The sequence below is a fragment of the Homo sapiens genome, chromosome 8 (genome assembly GCF_000001405.40).
Source record: "Homo sapiens chromosome 8, GRCh38.p14 Primary Assembly".
NCBI classification, from domain to species: Eukaryota; Metazoa; Chordata; class Mammalia; order Primates; family Hominidae; genus Homo; species Homo sapiens.
The window spans coordinates 3985395-4005997 of NC_000008.11; the positions used below are offsets into that span (position 1 = coordinate 3985395).

General features: G+C 38.1%; 1 protein-coding gene across 3 annotated transcripts in view; it reads right to left on the reverse strand.

Annotated features, from left to right (window-relative positions):
* Positions 1-20603, reverse strand: part of CSMD1 (CUB and Sushi multiple domains 1) — a 2059554-nt gene that overhangs the window by 1050034 nt on the left and 988917 nt on the right. For all 3 annotated transcript variants that reach the window (XM_011534752.3, NM_033225.6, XM_017013731.2), the window contains exon 5: positions 12509-12716. In XM_011534752.3, the coding sequence (XP_011533054.1) occupies positions 12509-12716 (208 nt within the window). The remainder of the gene's footprint in view (positions 1-12508; positions 12717-20603) is intronic.

The following is a 20603-nucleotide window of genomic DNA, read 5'->3' on the forward strand; positions in this document are numbered from 1 at the left end:
ACATCTACCCTCTTGTCTAGTCTTATGTGCACACACACACAAACACACCTGGGCGTGCACACTCACACATTTTAGAACATAATTGCTGCTCAGAAGTCTCCATCCCAAATGTTTCAAGAGCCAGATACAACGAACACATCATTTTACTCCATGGATTGCTCTACTATGGAATAATAACAGTTTCACTTTATTTGAAGGGGCGCCACCTTCTAGTACAGGAAGATCCTTGCACGGCAGAACCGTTGCACTCACAGAAGCTTGCTAGGTTGATGCTAGAATTCTCATTACAACCTCCAAGAATCAAGTAACAACTTGATTCAAGAAGTTAGATTAAAAAGGCTGCCTTTAAAATGTTAAAGTGATTTTTTTTTTTTTTTTTGAGATGGAGTCTCACCCTGTCGCCCAGATTGGACAGGGTGAGACAGCATTCTTCAATGCTGAGACTGTACCCTAGGTCTGTCTGAGCATCAGATAATTTTTCTTCCCAATTCATCGTGCACTCTTACTTTGAACATTTCAAACCATTTTGCATAACTCAATTTTTTTTTCTAATTCTAGCCTAAAAGTTTCCCTGGCTGTCCTCTGACTCCCATTTAAGCCAGGCCCCACCCACTCCCCTGCTTCTCTTTGCTATCTCAAAGCCCTGTCTTTTCCTCTTCATTATATGAAGACCCCATCCAAAAATCAAGGATCTCGTTCGTATCTGGGAGCTACAAGTTCAGATGAACAGGATTTCTCAAGTGACTTGAAGGCATCACCTTAAAGTCTCTCCAAAGAGCCCTTTTATTTTAAGCTGCCCCTCGGTCCTGAGATGGTGCAAAGACACCAGATGGAGGAAGAGCTTTATAACTTCCCTCGCCTGGCTGAGGGCATCAACATTCTCTCTACAATCCTTCCCTATGTTTCTAAAAGCTCAGTGAAAACCCTTCTAGGGTGTTCATTGAAATGTAGATCCCTGAGCACTGAGACACCCCCAGCCAACCTTCCTAACCACAGGCCCTGGACATTTCACTGTTGAATACGTTTCCACTTCAAGGTGAAATCTGAAATATCAGGGTATAGCCATGTGCAAAGCCGAGCAACTGACTTCCCTGGCTACCAAAAGCAAGATCCTTCTCCTTTCTTTTTCTACTCCCATGATCAGCAGACCCGTATAAATTATAAGTATCTTAATCTTTCAACTTTCTAATTATTTATTTTTTCCCAAGCCATGCAACATACCTAAATCATGATTTTCCTAAAGTACTGCTTTCCTTATACCATGAGATATGAGGGACAGAGTGAACATTTTACAAGCATTTTACCATGGAAAATTTATCATGTTTCAGTTTTGCTCAAAGGCCTGCTTTTACAATGTTTAAGTGATTTTTCTTTTTTTTTAGATGGAGTCTCACCCTGTTGCCCAGGCTGGAATGCAGTGATGCGATCTCGGCTCACTGCAATCTCTGCTCCCAGGTTCAAGCAATTCTCCTGCTTCAGCCTCCCAAGTAGCTGGGATTGCAGGTGCACGCCACCATGCCCAGCTAATTTTTGTATTTTTAGTATACAGGGCGTTTCACCATGCAGTTCAGGCTGTTCTTGAACTACTGACATCAAATAATCCACCTGCCTCAGCCTCCCAAAGTGCTGGGATTACAGACGTGAATCACCGCATCCATCCAAAATGTTAAAGTGATTTCTATCATTTTGTGAAAACGATGGGTTCCTTTCTCCCAACTTACTGGAATGTATTTACACACACAGCGTCTATCCGAGTTCTATGGGAGAAAGCAATCCAGTATATACACTTCTTACTTTACACACACCGTGCCCACAACAGCAGCACGCACTCTTCCTGTGAACATGCTTCCCATGCTCAAAGGCTACACACAGCCCAGTGTTTCTGTAACATGTTCTGTGATGACCTCACTGAGCAGTGCTTTCTTTCTCCTCCAAGTACCGACAGCATCTTTGCAACTGCATTGCTTATTTGTTGTTTATCACATATGCCATGATAACGACTAATGGATACAGGGGTTGTCTGTCTCCGTTCCTGGTACAGTGGTAGGTTTCTGACTTTTACTTTCATATTCACCCAGCTAGATGAGTATCTTTAATCTCCTTTTTAAAGTCAGGAAACCAAAAATCTGGGAGTCTGACTCTAGCCCAAATGGTGCAGCTACGAAGGGGAGGAACACCATTTTTAATTCCTCGTTCTTCTCACTCTAAGGCCAATTCTGAGAACTGTGAAGGATGAGTAGGGCTTTGCTGATAAAGCAGAAGAGACAGTTCCCAGACAGAGAAAATGGATTGAAAACAGGAAACTGCAAGGTGGAACGAGGTCACTAGCAGCATAAAGTGCAAAATGGAATGTAAATATTGACAGGACTCAGGCCAAAGCAGGCTCTGCGCCACGTCAAGAAGCATAGCCTTATCCAAACCCATAGTTCCAGATGTTAATTGACAGCCTGCCAAAAAGAAATGGTTCAGGGTCCAATCTGTTTGGCACATTGCAACATCTTCTACCTGATCTCTGAGAGTCACACCGAATGGTCTCACATCAAAGGACTGAGAAATCCACAACAAAGGAAACTGCTCAACTTTTTAACTCAATTTTCTTGAAAAGAGCTCAAAATGATTTTACTTTCAACACACAGCTATTAATAGATTTGGAAACACTACTGTGCCTAAAAACATAGGGAAGCTGTTGAAATATTGTGATTTTTTTATACCCTTTTGATGTCACCTCTTATTCATAGTCATCTGCTGGGCAGTTGGGCTGGTTCAGAAAACTAAATCAGAGTCTCTAAGCAGTAAGACCCTGGTGAGTCTGTGAATCCTAAATCTGAAACTCAATATTGAACCTCGGCTTTCTGGATCATCTCCATCTTGTCCCAGAAGGCCATTATAAACATCACACAGGATTTCAACAGAGACAAAAGAGCTTGCATCAAATTCTGAAATAGCATAACTACTGCAATGTTTTTCAGTTTGGAGGAAAACCTGAAATTATTATGAATGATAATTAGTTATGGTTTTAGGTCTGTGTTTGTCAAATATGTACGCCACTCACAAACACCCTAACCTCTCACAGCTCAGGCTCTGGAGCACGGAACAGCAGCACCAACCAGAGCTGAACGATTGTCAGAAACAGAGAATCTCTGGACTCACTCCAGAACTGCTAGATCACGGTCTGCATTTTGAAAAGATCTCCAGTGAGTCCTGTGCACATGACAGCTGGAGAGGAACGTTTAATAGATAAATATGTACTTCGGTCAAAATTCCACTGTTATCACATTTCATTTTTACTAAGTGATATACAGGATCTAAACCAGGATAGCATTTTGATTTTCATTCACAAAGTTGACGGACATATACAAAAACAGCCCTGAATGTGAAACAATGCTGATTATGGTCAATTATATTTCCAAACAACAAGGAAGGGTCATCATTTAGGTCCTATTTTTTCCTTTAAAGTGATATTATTACTGTTGTTATTGTCACACAATTCATAACCAAAGTAAGATCAATGTTTTAAAAGTTGAGTGGAGAAGTTAACAGCTTTTATAACTCAAAAAATTTGAAGGTTATTTGCTGAACATAGACTTTTAGAACTAGATACAGGTAAAAACCATTGTTCAAAACACATTCTATTTCAAAAAGTTTTTCTTTTTCATTGTAGGGCAGAAATCTGAACTCTCTATGGCACTGTTTCTTACAGCAGTAAACGTGCAGCTAGTTATAGAAATTGCTATGTGGGGCGGGCATTTTGCTAAGGGTTTTCCAAGCGTCTGCTCATTTGCTCTAGTTAGCAGCTCTCTCAGGGATGTGGCAATCACTTCTATTTTACAGACAGTGATCTGGGACTTCCAGAGCAAACCTGCTCTACGTCATCAAGCTCAGAAGTCATAAAACCAAGACTACAGCCTAAGTCTCACTCAAACCGAGGTCTGAATCAGTCATCTTGGCTTAGCAACTATGCTTTTATGGCCTGCTGATAGAAAGGTAATGAAAAAACGACAGAGGACATTGCCCAACACTCTCCAAGCTAGGTAAGAGCGGCTTCTTAGCATGCTGGAACGAGTTGTGGTAACACAGACAAAAAACCTGGATTCTCTTCTAGCCAACTAATAATACTCCACAGGGTAGGATAAAGCACATGATCTATTTATGATGCAGTTCCTTTTTCCCCAAACAAGAAAGGGATTGCATTAAGAGATTTCTCAGGTGCCATCTATTTTAAATTTATAATTCAAAAAAAATTAAAGTCTTTATGATGTATATGTTTATTAAGAAACGATACTGTGATACTCTAAAGAGATTCGAATCAGAAGAACTTAGATACTTGTATTTACTAAAGTCATAGGTGGGAAACGCTAATGTTCTAGGCCACTACTCATTTAAAGGATGTATTAAGCTTGGATAGCACGTGCCAACAGGAAGTAACCCAAGCAACAAAATGTCACATTTTTTGGAGGAGTATAGGATTGCACAAAATTACCTTATTCTCCTAACCAGTCCTCCATGAAATTGTGCAAACTTTCATAAGAAAGAGAAAAATTAGATATTCATGGCTTCAAGAGAAACTCTAAATGAAGATATCAAAATGTACAATTGGAACACGAGGATGTGCCAGTTGGCTGATTTGAGGAATAAATGAGAGTTAAGCAGCATTATTTGAGAATGACTAAAATGGAGTGGGCGCAATGGCCCCTCAGAAGGCAGAGTGTTTTTAAATGAGAAATTTATTTAACAGCGTTAATTTAGTTTTACTTTTTTATTGTTTCCAGGATTAAGGGCCACATACAAAAAGAAAGAAGTGTGATTACAAACAACAGGTATTTCATAGTTGATGAAATACATTTTAATCCATAAAAGACTTCTTTTTTCATTGCCTACAGCTTAAATAATTTATAGGAAAAGTATTTTTCAATAAAATGAGGTTAATTTGGAGAAATCTGACATGAGAGAAATATTACACCAGAACTGTAGAGTTCAACTCTGCCCTAAGAATGGTAAGGATGGAGACGGGGACTTCTCTCCCGGGATAACTATTTTTCCTATTGGTCCCATCTTTAGAGACCAGGGATGTTTTCTTCTTCTCTGTTACTCCTCAGTCTGGACAATTTTATGGAATCTTAGGGTAAAATACTACATTTTATCCATAGCTACCACCATTCAATAAATTAGAAAAGTGTCCCAAATTTCAAATACGTATTCTTTGAAATAGTTTTTTAACTTTATTGAAACTCTGGTATTTACTTAACCCGAATTAAAGGATTGCTCTAGAATGCTATTTCTAGAATTTGTGAAGAAATCTCAAATTCAGGCTTAATTCTAGGCAATAAGACAGTCGATGGCTTCTCAGAGTTGCAGGGGCACCTGCTGGTGAGTCCATCCCTTTCATGAGGAAGGAGAGGGGAGGGCAGGAAATAATTCCTAGGGTATACGCTCCTGGTAGTGAATCAGAGAGTGCAGCTGCCCCTTCACAGAGAGCCACCTTCTTTGCTCCTGGAGGTCCATTCTGACGTGAAAGACCCTTCCTTCACTGCCTGGTGAAAGCATCATCTCTAGATGATGCTTTTCAGAAGGACAGGAGAGAAAATGTGTCTTGCAAAAACACACCTGACAAAAACCTCTAAAACACAGCCTGCCTGCTTCACTCCACTTGTGGGGCTGCAGCATCTTTCCCAGAAATTCCTTCGCTGCCCAGCGGCTTCATCCCTGGCCACGAGCCGAGAGAAAAGGTAGAGACTGGAAATTGGCCCCACAGTAGACATTGTGGAGAGGGTGCCTAATCCACCCAGGTGAAAACAAAAATATCCAGGATAAGGCATGTGAAAGAAAGCCACCAATCAAGTTAGAAATTATCCGTACAGTAGAATTAGCTGGTATTGAAAGAAGTTCGCATTATTTGCCTATTGAGTTTCAGGGTGGAGGTACCTAGGTTGTGGCGTAGTCTGGGATGGCCAGTTTTCTCCACCTACCTAAGACTTCAGTGCGTCACGGTTGCATATATAACCCTGTTTAGTCACATCTTTATGCGACAGCTTCATGGTAACATCAGCTTGTCATTCATGTGTCCTCTTAGAAGCCTGATAATATCTATCATTATGTTATACCCAGAAATATGCTCAACAAGCAAGTATGCTAAGATGATTACATTACTGTCTAGTGAATAATGCTGGAAAGAAACACGTAAGAGTAGCTAGTGATGACTCCACCACACAGTAACAGAGATGACTACAAATTAGAAGTGGAGGGCACTTTCTTTGTATGCACTAAGGCAGAAGGTTGCTGAAGAAATTCTAGGATGAGAGTGGAGTGCCGACACACTGCTTCCATCTTCCTGTTTTGAAATTAGCGATGAAATGTGGTCTCAACTTTTTTAAAAGGAGGAGGAAATATACCTTGGGACTGTCTCTCTTCAAGTCTCCACACTGCCTCTTTGCTTTTTGGATGGTTGAATATTTAACTACTTTGAAGCCTATTTTTCTCATCTATAAAATGGGAATAGTAGTATCTCCAAGTAGCAGTAGCAACTATTGTTTATATTTTCTTGTTATATAACAAACACTCGGTGATTATTAAATGTTTTTTTACAAAAAAAATACACTATTGAAAAAACATAGAAATGGCATTTTAATTAAAGCAGGGGTTTATGAATAGAGCTACAATATCATGTTAATTATATCCCTACACCTTCAGCTGGTATGCAGAGTATCAAGAAAAGGAGAAATGTGTATATATATGTGTGTGTGTGTGTATGTACATATATTATATATATTTTTATTGTTAGATATATATAAATATATTTACATTCATATTTATTTCCCATTTATGCTATACTAAACACTTCTAAAAAACAACACTTCTAAGCTCTATTTTTCATGAACCAGCATAACTTGACCCTTTTGCCTACCTGGAGTACGCAAGTTTACAAGGGGAACTCTGGGGTGACAGTTTTGTAATCTTATTTTGTTCCCGTTAAACCAGCACAAGTTTACTATTAAATCAATCTAATCAGTGATTGGCTGAAGTTAAAACAAAAATAAGTGTTGAGGTGCATAGCTTACAACAGGTTTGTGAAATAAAATTACTGAATCCAAATTTAAGATAGAAAATATGGGACTGGCTGTTGTGGCTCATGCCTGTAATTCCACACTTTGGGAGGCTGAGCCAGCAGAATTCCTTGAGTCCAGGATTTTGAGACCAGCTTGGGCAACACAGTACGTCCGTGTGTCTACAAAAAATGTTTTAAAAATTAGCCAGGGTTCTGCACCTGTAGTCCCAGATACAAGGAATGCTAAGGTGGAAGGATGGCTTCAGTCCAGGAGTTTGAGGCTACAGTGAGCTATGACAGCACCACTGTACTCCACACTGGGTGACAGAAGGAGACCCAGTACTAACATTAAAAAATTATAAAGGAAAGCACAAAAAACAATTCGCCCATTTTAATTGGTGGCACTGCAGCATTGCTGCGTGGTCTCCTCCATATTCATAAACGATGTCACTGCTTTTCCAAAGCCATTTTTCTCACAAAAGATTGAATTGTTAACATGGGATAGGTCAAGTTCATAGAAACAAAGAAAGATGGAAACGGCCACAGTTGGACAGGGCCAAGGAGGCAAAACCAAATGCTCTGTGGGTCCCTGGCTGGAGCCCTGGACCAGAAAAGACATCAGTAGAAAAGGCAGAGGAAATCAAACAGAGTCTGAAAATGAGTTAGCAGCACTGATGCTACATGAATTTCTTGGTGCCAATAATTACACTATGGTTATGTAAGATGTTCACATGAAGGAAGCTAGGTTTAGGATATACAGCAACTCTCTGTGTTAGTGCTGCAAATTTTCTGTAAAATGAATTCAAAATAATAACAACATGAGGAGGGAGAACATGATGCCTCCTTCCTTTAATTTTGGGGCACGTGAGAGAAGGATTGATTTCAGGGAGTCTGTTACTCAGCATGTTCCTCTATAATTCTCCCTGGTTAGAAATTAAATAGACACCAAGTCAATTATCAATTAAGTGACAAGTTGGGTAAACACTGGAAGCATTAACTGACCCATTCAAGCGTTCTTTGAAATTCACTCAGCTTTCCCCATTTCTCTGAAGTTTTGTTTTAACTTTAGCCAGTCACCAATTAGATTGACTTAATAGTAAAATTGTGCTGGTTTAACAGGAACAAAATAAACTAAGGTTACAAAACTGTCACCCCAGAGTTTCCCTTGTAAACTTCCATACACCAGATAGGCAAAAGGGTCAAGTTATGCTGGTTCATGAAAAATAGAGCTTACACCTTAAAAAATCATAAAGTAACAGATGTTTCTTTTGAAGTCATAAGGCAGCCCTAATCCAAAGCGGAAGAAATGTTCTTGCATTTATTATGGCTGATGTTTTCCAGGGAGGGAGATCACACAACCTGTTTGTTTCACTTGCATTATTTATGTAGTGTTCTTCCAGGTACTCTGCATGCCCCTCTAAGCATTATGATAATGGGATCGACAAAAGATAGGCAGTGGGCGATTTCCACGTGGAAACGTGCAGCTGAACAAATGCACCAGGGATGAAAACGCCCAGTAACATAAAGACAGGGATGGGTTCACAGGGGCAAACTGCAAGGGGATGGGCGTGCCTGGCAGGGAGGGAGCCAGGATGGGGCCAAATCGGTAGCTGTGGACAGCTTGGGAAGGCACACTGAGGCTTCCAGGCTCTGTCTCAGGGAGCTGAAGCTCAGTCATGGAAGTTAAGAATCGATGCATTTATATTTGTTTTGGGACACATTTTCAATGCATTTATTTTTATTTTCTTTTTCCTTACCTTCTCTATCCTCTACACATTCCCTGTCACAGAAGGGTATGGAAGCCTGTTTCTTTTGTTATATAAGTTCATATTTTAAAGGGAGTAAATGCTCCCTCAGTGTTCCCAGCCAAGACTATACAACCTTAATCCCGTTAACCATCATGTCTTAATTTAGAAACCATAGAGGGAGAACTCAGAAATGAAATCAATTTTCTTTCTTCTTGATATTATTAGAAGTACAAGTTATAGGCTACACCATCAAATCTCTTCAGAAAAAAAAAAAAAAAAAAAGAACACTTGGCTAGTCTCACCACTACACAAATCCTTCCTAATTGCAAGAAAAATAATGACTAGACCATGCTATAAAGTGAACTCAAAATGGCAACTCTCTGTTAAAGCAAGGGATTGATAGGAAGCCAACCTGCATGAAATTAGAATCCGACTAGTTAAAAAAAAAAGTCAGTTTCAACTAATGTACCTATAGCCTATGAGGCTTAAATTACGAACCCAACGTATGTTTAATATAAAGATAATTTTGGCACATGACATCATCCCCTATATTTAGACTGCCTCCACTGCTGCCATGGCAACCCTGACTTAAAACATAGCTCAGTGGGTAATTTCACTCCAAATTAAATGAAAATAAGGCTAATCCTATTATTGTTCCTAACAATTTTCCAAGTAGCTTCTTCTGAGAGTGCCCTTGCTTATATGCCCTTTTTTAAAAATAGATTATTGGAAGATCATATGTGTATCTGCCCTCACTCCACTCACAGTCACTCGCACCACCCTCCTGGCTCTGTGGAATGACCCTGTGCTTGGGAAGAGGTCGCAGCACCCACAATGCTCCCCGTCCCTGTCTATGCAATTCGGGAATGGGGAAACCTTTTAAATACACCAATTTGATTCATGAAATATTTCAGAGACTGTCACTGTAGAATTACTGTAAAATAATAGGCTTTTTAAGATAAATCATATTATGCATTTGTATAGGCCTTAAAAGGGTACTTCAAATTATTCTGTTTTATGTTTTAAATGTGCTCCTGTAGGTTTCCATAGTTATTTAGGAGAACCATCTTTTGCTTTTCAGCCTCCACTGAAGAGTCATTGAAAGCTGAGAGTTCCACTTAAACGTAGTCCTTGTGGCTGTGTTAAGATACTTCTTTTGACTATTATGATAAACATTAAATGTTACACATACACACAAAACACTCTGTTGACCCACGACATATGCTAAATTGCTTTTCCATCTTTACCCCGACAGTTACCTGTTCAAGGCTTTATGATCCAGCCTGTAGTCCTGAAACAGAGAAACTCTACTTCTCTGACAGGGCATTGAAGCTCAGACCTGGACTACACTGACTGAGGGGCTATACATAGAGAGAAGAAAATGCCGTGGAGTCAGAGACCTTGAACCTGAGCTCTGCCAAGGGCTCCATCAGCTTTGCCATCTCTTGTCCTCTGCATATCTCAGTTTTATTTTTAAATCTACAATAATAAAGAGACAATAGTAGACAATAGTAAGAATAATGACCCCACAGGGCTTTTGCGCCAAGCAAATAGGACAATATAAGTCATCCCAAGAATACAAGTATAAATACAACTCTATCCCCGGCTAATCATGGCTATTTGAAGAGAGCAGCTAAGCTAACAGGCAACAGAGTTTATTAGACATGAAGGCACACAGGATCATAGTTCCCACTGATAACTTTCCCACCAGCTTCCCTAGCAAATACAGAGAGAGATTCCAGTGATGTAGAAGATGTCTTCCAGCCTGGATCCAGGCACCAAGAAGACAGTGGTAGTCTCTCTGGCTATCTGTGCTGATACTCTCTATGACAAGGATGATCAATTGTTGCCATAAAGTGCTACAATGGTCCCATCAACTTTTCAGAACACGCTTCTCATCACACTCATGATCTGTATTTTCTGACACAAACTAAGTTTCTTTGGCAAAAGCTGCCACTGATCATAGGTTCTAGAATCACTAACAAATCGGCCTCACTTGCTTCTACCTCTCTCCCAACCTGACATCTTACTAGCAAGGTGTGCAGTCAATGCCCAATACCTCTGGACTGTCCTAAAAATAAGACCTTTAACTTTAAGCATATAACTTCTGAGAATGAGTCCCTATATATTTTATACTTCAATTATTTTCTGAAAACCACAATAATTTTAAAACTAGGAAGAGGTGAGATCACTTGAATATCTTTAAATGATTAGTAGAGCATATGTACTAAAGAGATGCTTAATAAATTCATTTTTAAGATTTTTTTTTTAGCACAGCCTCTCTTTTTACAAATCGACTTGTCTGAAGTCATAAGGATTTGCTTTTGGCAGAACCTGTGGTATAACTTAGGTTATCCACCTCTCGGCTCAGCTTTTGCTTCCATGAACTCTAATGTTAGACATAGCGAGATAGGTAATAATTTAAACAAATTCCTGAGTGTTTAAAGTTAAAGTCATACAACCTACATTAAGCAGATTGGTCCTGGCTAATCTAAAAGTGTTGTTCAGCATGAAAAAAATTGAAAACAAAGACAATCTAGGTAGAATTTGTTTGGTTTCTTCCTCCCTCCTATTTGAAATAACATTTAAAACAAGCACAATAAAATCAACCAGGAAAGGACTTCTCCATGAATAGGAATCATCAGCATTGAGCCTTGTGATTTGGAAAACAAAGTGCAACTCAATTCAATTCCAATAATCGGTTTAAAACAGGTGCTCATATTTACAATATGCTTCATGTTTGACATGTTTGTCTGGTAGCCTTCATACTAAAATGCAAACTGCAACCTGCCGACATGTTCACAATCACTCATTCCATATTCCCCTCTTCCTACTCATAAATGGCCAACATTTCCTCTGTGTCTACCTGAGTTTCAACATACCCATTCTTGTTTAGTCATATTTCAAGATCTAAAACAGATAACTGAAGCAGTTTTAAAGTGTTCAGGTTTAAAATAATAAAAACAATAACACAATTTTACATGCAACAAATGACTTAATTCAAGATAGAAATTAAGGCCTTAAACATCTATGCTATGTTTTTAAGTCTCTCAAATGGCACTTATGGACACAAACGATACTATTCTTGCAATCACGACCATCACTCCTAAATAGGCGGTACTTCATTAGATCTTGTTTTCCTTTGTCTCTACTGGGGTACACACCAGAGAACTGACCACCCTGCGGTTAATTTTATACATATAGTGGACTAAGATGTGTGTTAAGTTATTTTGCCTTTGAGGATCTTGTAGCCACGGGCACTTCCCCACAGGTGGCTACAGAATGTGGTACACAGTCTTCACGAAGAAAAAGGAAAGCACAATCATATATCTGCAGCAGTCTGTCAATTCTCGCTAACGTGAGATAAAAGAAAATACACAATCTAAAAATCTCTGCTCACAGTGAAACAGCTTCAGACCAAACCCAAAACTAACTCACCTTACTTGGTTGCTTTAAAACAGTCCAAAAATGACAGCACTACAAGTTCAAGCACACAGATGACTTCCCGAGCTCCAAACACCAGCACAAAGACATCTTAGAAACTTTGAAATTACTCACAGTAAAGGTAACTTTTCCAGAGCCAAAAGAGCAAGGCGAAAAAAGGAACACACATGCTTGCCCATGAACGTCCAGAGACAAGCAATTCTTGAAGCTCGTTGGGGGAAAAAACGGGGAAAACACACCTGTATCCTTTGTGGCATCTCTTCCCGGGACTTACCATATGGATGGAGCTTCCGTGCCACTGATCTCTAAGAAATCATATCCTTCTTCTAGCTGAAAGTCAGTGAAGACCAGCGCAATGGTGTCCCCGGGCTCAGCCAGAATGGTCCAGGTGCAGTCCGCGTTGTTCTCGTACTCTGAAGGGAAGTGCGGGCTGGAGATGGAGCTGCTGGTCCCGCGTAAGGTTCCTCCGCAGGCTCCCTCAGCTGCAGGGGCAAAAGCAGAAAGAAAGCATCACATTTCAGGATGGTTTTCATACACGAGTGTGTCCACCAAGTGTCACTCTTGATCAGCGACAAATATTTTCTGAACCCAAAATTGAGACACTCAATCTGAAAAAGAATCTTTTGGTATGTTAATGAGTTCTATGAAAAGGCTTACAAGACTCTAACATTTAAATTATCTTATTAATTGAATGGCCATTGCGGGAAAGATGGAAACGGTGGCTTTTCTGAAACATGGAAAGTGTAGTTGCCATGTACCTGACATTGATAGGCAGCCTAACAAGATTTTCAGAGATTTTCTCCGAATCCTGGAAGATGACACTATGTAAGCAACATTTTGAGACTTAAAAACATGTGGGCGTTTATTCATGGATACCTGGCTTTGAGAATACTGTGCTCTTAAAAGAAATGGTTGTCTTAAATTTATTTTCCATAAATTTGGGATTAATTTGGGTTTTGAATTTCAGATAGCTATTGAGTAACATAAAAGAGGCACATCACCTCATAAAAAGGTTCTGAGTAGAAAACAGTTACATGAAACTTAAAATGGAATATCTTAGAAAAGTGATAAGTGAAAGGCCAGTAAAGATAAAAGTGCATTTAAAATAGAAACTAACAATTAAAAAATTATTGGTTAGAAAGGAAACAGATCTTGGTAAGTTTGCTATAGAGTAAAAAAGCTTCTTTGTTACATTTATTTTATCTATTACAAAATATTATATGCATTTTAAACTATATATAGTTGATATATATAACATATAATCTATATGGTAGTTTATATATAAATAACAAACTATATAGTAGTTTATATATAAATAACAAACTATATGGTAGTTTATATATAAATAACATAAACTATATGATAGTTTATATATAAATAACATATAAACTATATGATACTTTATATACTATATATAGCTATGTTATATATATAAATTACATATATGAGAGAGAAGTATTTTAAAATAACATGTTTTAAAGCATGTTTTTTAAAATTTCTTCCTTCCCTCCTTTCTTTCTTCCTTTTCTTTCTTCTTTTTCTTTCTTTCCTCAAATACTTCCTATCCATAATATATATTTAACAGTCATTAATTCTGATACTGCAATGTGGATGATATGTAAAAGTCAGCCTGTTACCAAGATGGGGGGAGTTTGCTGTAAGCAGAGGTTGTGTGACCGGCCTGAGCTCTTACAAAGTGCATATCTTCGACCCTACCCACCCTCTCTCCACCAAAATTATACCGAAGTGAGAGGAAATGACCTCCTTTTATTAACTCTTCCCAAGTTGCAAGTTCCAATATTTCTTTCATCTTTCAGCGATGTTCGTTTTATTTTGGCAGGATCTAAGCCTCACAAAAACGTCAAAATAGAACCAATCTTGTCGGCAACAGTAAGAGGGTGATATAGGTCCCTTCAAATTAGCTGCCTTCAGTTTACTCAGAAGAATGCCAGGGGCATAGGGGTAGTTGACAGCACACGGTTTTTGTTCCCGGAGTTTGGAGTATTGCATTTCCCATCCTTCCTACGGGATGCCAGGCTGGTCTACACACTAGGCATTCTCATGCTGTTTATGTCAACTAATGCTAATGGCAGCTTTAGAATGGACGTCTTTGAGAGGTACACTTGGAGGAAAATTACTACCTTCAAGTATGAACGAAATCAAGACTACATGAGGGATGGGTGTTCTCATGTTTTAATAGTTAGCCAGTCTGTGACTCCCATCCAAAGCACGTGACGTTGTGGAAAGGGCTGCCCATGTTTTGTAGGACATCTCAGGAAACTCATTTTTTAGATCCCAAATTTATTTTAAGATTAATAATTATTAAGTGCACAGATTATAAAAATTATGCTACCACGGTAGTGTTTCCTTTTAAAAGTGTAAAACCAAACACGAATAAAAATAACTGTGTGTATACTACAATTTGAAAACTGCAAAAGTACTTCCTGTGCCCACTACCAAATGTCTGTCCTGCCCCCCGCCCTCCGTGGGCACCACTGTGCAAGCACACACACTTCCCTGGTCAACTGAGAACAAGCTGCACAACTGCCCAGCTCGCCGCAGTTTTTATTACATTCTTGGGAACAGCCGAATGTCTCTCCTGCCCCCCGCCCTCCGTGGACACCACTGTGCAAGCACACACACTTCCCTGGTCAACTGAGAACCAGCTGCACAACTGCCCAGCTCGCCACAGTTTTTATTACATTCTTGGGAAGAGCTACTGGGAATGTGATCATACATATACAGTTCCCTGTCAAAATTGTATTTTTGAACAGAGATAAAAATCAGTACCATATAAAAATAAGAGGAAGAACATATTCCAGCCATGAGGAAAAATACAGTGGCTACTACTGAGATTCAGATATTGGGCAGAATTCAGCTCTAAGCCCCTTGTGTTGGGATAATGGTGAATCAGGTTAACAACTAAAAGTGACTCATACTCTACGTTGTTTTTCTTTAAACGCAAATATAAATATCTCCTTCATAAAGGGATGAGGTAAACAGGATCACTAGAGACAGATATTTACTTTTATTATTGATTAAATAACTCTATATAAACATATCACACACATTAATATTTCCAGAGTAATAATTGTTTTTCATGTATAAATATATAATTTTATTTAATATTTAGATTTTATTCTTTTCTCTGAATTCATTATATACTACAAAAGTTATGGCATCTCAATGTAAACACAGATGCAGAAGAAAAGAGTTCTAATACCTTTATTACCTAAGAAGATAAAATATCATAGATGTGTGGAATTAAAAGAAAATTATCAAAGTCCACGTTACCAAAATGATGTAGTTGAAAGATTAATGACATATTAATTGAAATCCAACTGCTGAAACTACATACATTCTTCATAATTCACCTTGTTGGCAAGAAATCCCCCCTTTCAATGTTTCAGAGGGGAAAATAAAAAAAGGAAAAAAAAAACTGACATCAAATGATTATGAATTTTTGTCATGGCAGTCGATGAGCTGAATCACTTTCTATTATTTAAAAAGCTTTGAAATAGTCGTATTTATGTGCATGGTATAGAATAAACATAGAATACAAGTGTATAGAATAAGAAGCTTAACCGATTCTTCTGGGAAAACCTCTCAGTAACCTTGACCAGAAGTGAATTTAAACCTATCTGACAGGAGTGTTTACAGGCAGCCAACATAACAGGGACACCAGCCATAGCTCCAGGACAGAGTCCAGGGCCCCCACCCTGCAGCCATTAGCCCCCTGGTTTCTCCACTGCTGGAAGGTTCGATGACCTGCAGAAGGTGTCTAGGGAGTTTGTAGGGCTCCGGGTAGTGGATATGAGTTAACTGGTAAAAGAGGGTTCTTTTTTATTTTAACAGCTGACAGAACTGTGCTGGTGCCCACCCCTGAGTACCAACCCTGATCAAATGAGCATACCTCACTGCCATGCAGTTTCCTTCTATTTAAAATGCCAGTGGCTGAGCTGGATAAACTGCAATGTTATGCCCCTGTCTAATATTTGAGTCCCCTGAGTCTAAGATCTTAGACACTTACTATCTACATTTTCCTAGAATTTCCGTTGATGAATGAGTGGATCATGGAGACCCATAGTTCACTGGGCCAGCATGAGTACTAGGCTCACTGAATCCAGGTAAGACCAGAGCACTGACTGCAACAGACAAGTGGTGAAATTTAAGGGTAACTTTGTTGGGAAAGGAGTAGATGACATAAAGAAGGCAAAATAGAAAAGTCAAATAAAATGAAGAAAAAAACAATTAAGGTAGCACAGAGGAAAAAAAAAATTCCCAAACCTTATGACTATTGCATTTCTTCAGTAGATATGTTAATGTCCATAGAATATTCCGGAATGAGTTACAGTTAGAATCAGGCCAAAATAATATATGCAAGATATATTAGAATTGTTTGTATAGCACTCCACATAAAATATAGTAGAAGATTATTAAGATAGTCTGATTGATTAATTGAATATTACACATATAAGACAAACAAAAAAACTTCATGGTACTCATGGGATAAAATGCTTAAATCACAGAAAATCTTTAGCACAGAATGAGGCAAAATTAGTGTTGGTGCCTGTGAGTGTGTGTGTGTGAGTGTGTGTGCATGTGTGTGCGTGTGTTTGTGTGTATGTGTGTGTTTGTGTTTGAAAGCACCTGCTATAGTGCTGTAAGTACTTCTCTAACAAAACTTTTTAACTCTTAATTTCTCCGCTATTTTTGTAAGGGATTTTACTTTCTAAACAGCAACATTTTAAACATAATAGCATTTGAAGAAGAGCTACCTAACTAATATGTTTGATGAGCAAAACATTTTTAAAAATAAATCAGTTTGTTTCCTCTTAGATCTATGAAGCTCTACAGGATGATCAATTTTATAAATAATGCCACAGAGGAAACAGTTTTCAAAGCCCATTTCGACTGAGAAAAATTAATTACTTAATTTTTGATATAATATTTACTTGTGAACTTATCTTCCAGTTTAGCTGCTAAAGATATTAAATTGCTCCCACATATCGCTAAAGGATAAAAGCTTTGCTGACAGAAATGGGAACCATTATCCCTGCAGTGTGGAGTGCTACAAGGACCCAATATGATTAAATGTACATCATAAATGATGAGTGAAGAGACATTATTTAACAAAGTATATTGGAAGAACTGAATAGAAAGTTTTAAAATATCAACTTAAAAATTCCCTCATACAAAATACCTGTTACACAAATTAAAATGTTTGAATGTATTAAATAATGGGTAACTTGTTACATTAAAATATAATATATGGTCTCAAATTAAGCATTATCTCAACTAAACAGAAACTGTGAATGTTACGGAAGCAAAAATAACTTTATAAGTAAACCAATCTACCTGTTTAATTTTTTCAAAATAAATGTATAAAAATAAAAACAACACAATAAAAAAATATTTGCAACAACACAGCAGGGGGATATTATTTATACTTACTTGCTTTGTATTTTAAGAAACAAGATACAGGCTTGGCGCGGTGGCTGATGCCTGTAGTCCCAACACTTTGGGAGCCCTAGGAGGGTGGATCACGAGGTCAGGAGATCGAGACCATCCTGGCTAACATGGTGAAACCCCCTCTCTACTAAAAACACATAAAAGTAGCTGGGTGTGGTGACGGGCACTTGTAATCCCAGCTACTCGCGAGGCTGAGGCAGGAGAATGGTGTGAACCTGGGAGGTGGAGCTTGCAGTGAGCAGAGATTGCCCTACTGCACTCCAGCCTGGGCGACACAGCAAGACACTGTCTCAATAAACAAACAAACAAAAAAACAAACAAATAAATAAATAAATAAATAGATAAGTAAATAACAAGACACAAACAGATACATGGGAAAAAAAGATTTTAAATGGCAATTTAAATAAGAGTGAATTCTAGAACAAACCAAAATTAAAAACAAACACAGGTGAAGTTTCAATCTTTCTTATTATGATAGGCATTCAAATTAAAACAACACTGAAATGCCTTCTAATATACATTAAAAAGATAAATTCTGAAAATACATAAATACGAAGAGTAAAACTGATCTAGTTGTATGTTCCTAATATCAACATGCATTAACACAGTGCTTCAGGCGATTTACCAACACAGGCGAGTGACACTGAGAGGGCTCATATACGCCGGCAAATTACTCAACTTAGGGTCTGATGTCTACTGAGTATATTGTACGTGTCTGATATTCTACCAAGGTCATTATGTGAACTATTTAATCACATCCAAAACGTGTGATAAAATGTTTGTTTTTGTTCCTCTTTCACAGCTACCAAAAGAGAAATGTTTTTCATTTTTTTAGAAAACAGAACAAAACAAAAAAACCATCAACTGGAAAACATTCAGAGACTCAGAAAATATATGATCAACTAAATAAAATTAAAATTAATCACCATAAATACTCTATAGTAAAACAGAAAAAAGGGTATAATGTCTGATCTGTGAAAAAGCAGAACAAATTTATCTACGTTAAGCTGTATACATATGTATATTTCAAGTTAACTATAAAGACTAAGAAATATAAACATTTTAATATAATTGTGGTATTATAGTAATATAATTGTTATGAGGGATTTAAAAACTCCTTCAATCTTTTGTCAAGAAATAGTTTAACATCTAAAAAACATCCCAGTAACATTCATGAATAATGAATGAAACTTGGGAATTCTTAATCATAGTACGTGTAGAACTTTATGTGTTTCTGAGAGAGTATATCCACAAACAATATATTTAAAACATATTAGAGATGCTGTTGTTTTTGTTTTAAAATAAATTCTGCCATGAATCTTTTTTTTTTTTTTAAAGGAAAGGCTATTTTATAGTAAAATAAAATGGCCTAATTTATCTATTATATATCTGGATTTTTGTGTTATATTCAGCAACAATGAAAACATAAAAATGAAGTAGTATTTTTAGCAACCTAATTTGGTATTATAAACAAAACATATTTATTTGGGATTTTCCTTCTTTCCTTCATTTTACTATTCTACAATATATTTTAGATTTCAATAAATTTGTGTATGAAATAGTCACTTTCTTAAAAAGATTCAGCTGGTTAGGTTACAAAGTTGACCTGGATGAGATTGGTGACTATTATTCTTTATTCTTTTTTTGTTTTGTTTTGTTTTTGAGATGGCGTCTCACTCTGTTGCCCAGGCTGGAGTGCAGTGGCGCGATCTTGGCTCACTGTAAGCTCCGCCTCCCGGGTTCACGCCATTCTCCTGCCTCAGCCTCCCGAGTAGCTGGGACTACAGGCGCCCGCCACCATGCCCAGCTAATTTTTTGTATTTTTAGTAGAGACAGGGTTTCACCGTGTTAGCCAGGATGGTCTCAATCTCCTGACCTCGTGATCTGCCAGCCTCAGCCTCCCTAGTGACTCTTATTCTAAGTGAAGTACTGAGGAATGGAAAACCAAACATCCTATGTTCTCACTGATGTGTGGGAGCCAAGCTATGAGGATGCAAAGGAATAGGAATGATATAATGGACTTTGGAGATTTGGGGGGAAGAGTGGGAGTGGGGAAAGGGGATAAAAGACAACATATATGATGCAGTGCATACTGCACAGGTGGTGGGTGCACCATCTCAGAAATCACCACTGAAGAACTTACTTATGTAACCAAACACCATCTACACCCCAATAACTTATAGAAAATAAAATAAAATAATAAAAAAAGTTTCAAGCCTACAGACATTCATTGTACTTGCAGAAAACGTAATGCAGGGGCGGGTCCGGCTCCTTGAACAGACACACGTGGCCGGGTGGTCACTCCCTCTGCAACCAATTAGACACAGACAAGTGCTTTGCAGGGCCACTGTCTCAACATGGTGGCCGACATGAACACTGAATTATCTCCAGTTTCAAATCATGTGGCGATACACTTGCCTTTCTCAACGAATTGGCTCATTCTTTATTTTCTGAATTGTCTTTTATTGTGTAAGGACGTTCCACATGGTATTATAAGGTTTGCAGTCATAAATTCACTCTCAATTGAGAGAACATAGGGTGTCTCCCATGGATACTATATTTGGTGCTTTCTTCCCACTTCAAACAACAGAAGAACTTTCAAGACTCCCTCATTTGATTTGTTTCAGCTAAATATGTGGAAGTGAGTTATTGTATACAAGCAAACATTAACATCAGAATAATTAGTGTCAGAATCTCATTTGCACTTGGCATTAACAGACCCCGGATTGCTAGCATAAGCACTGTCTTTTAATTCCCTGGTCCCCATGAACAGGAGCTGGCTGCCAAAATCACTGGGAATTGGCTTAGAAGTTGACTTTGCAGAACCATGCATTTATGTTAATTAATTTATTCATTCAATACATACGAAAACTAATTCTCTACTAGAATGAGCAGAG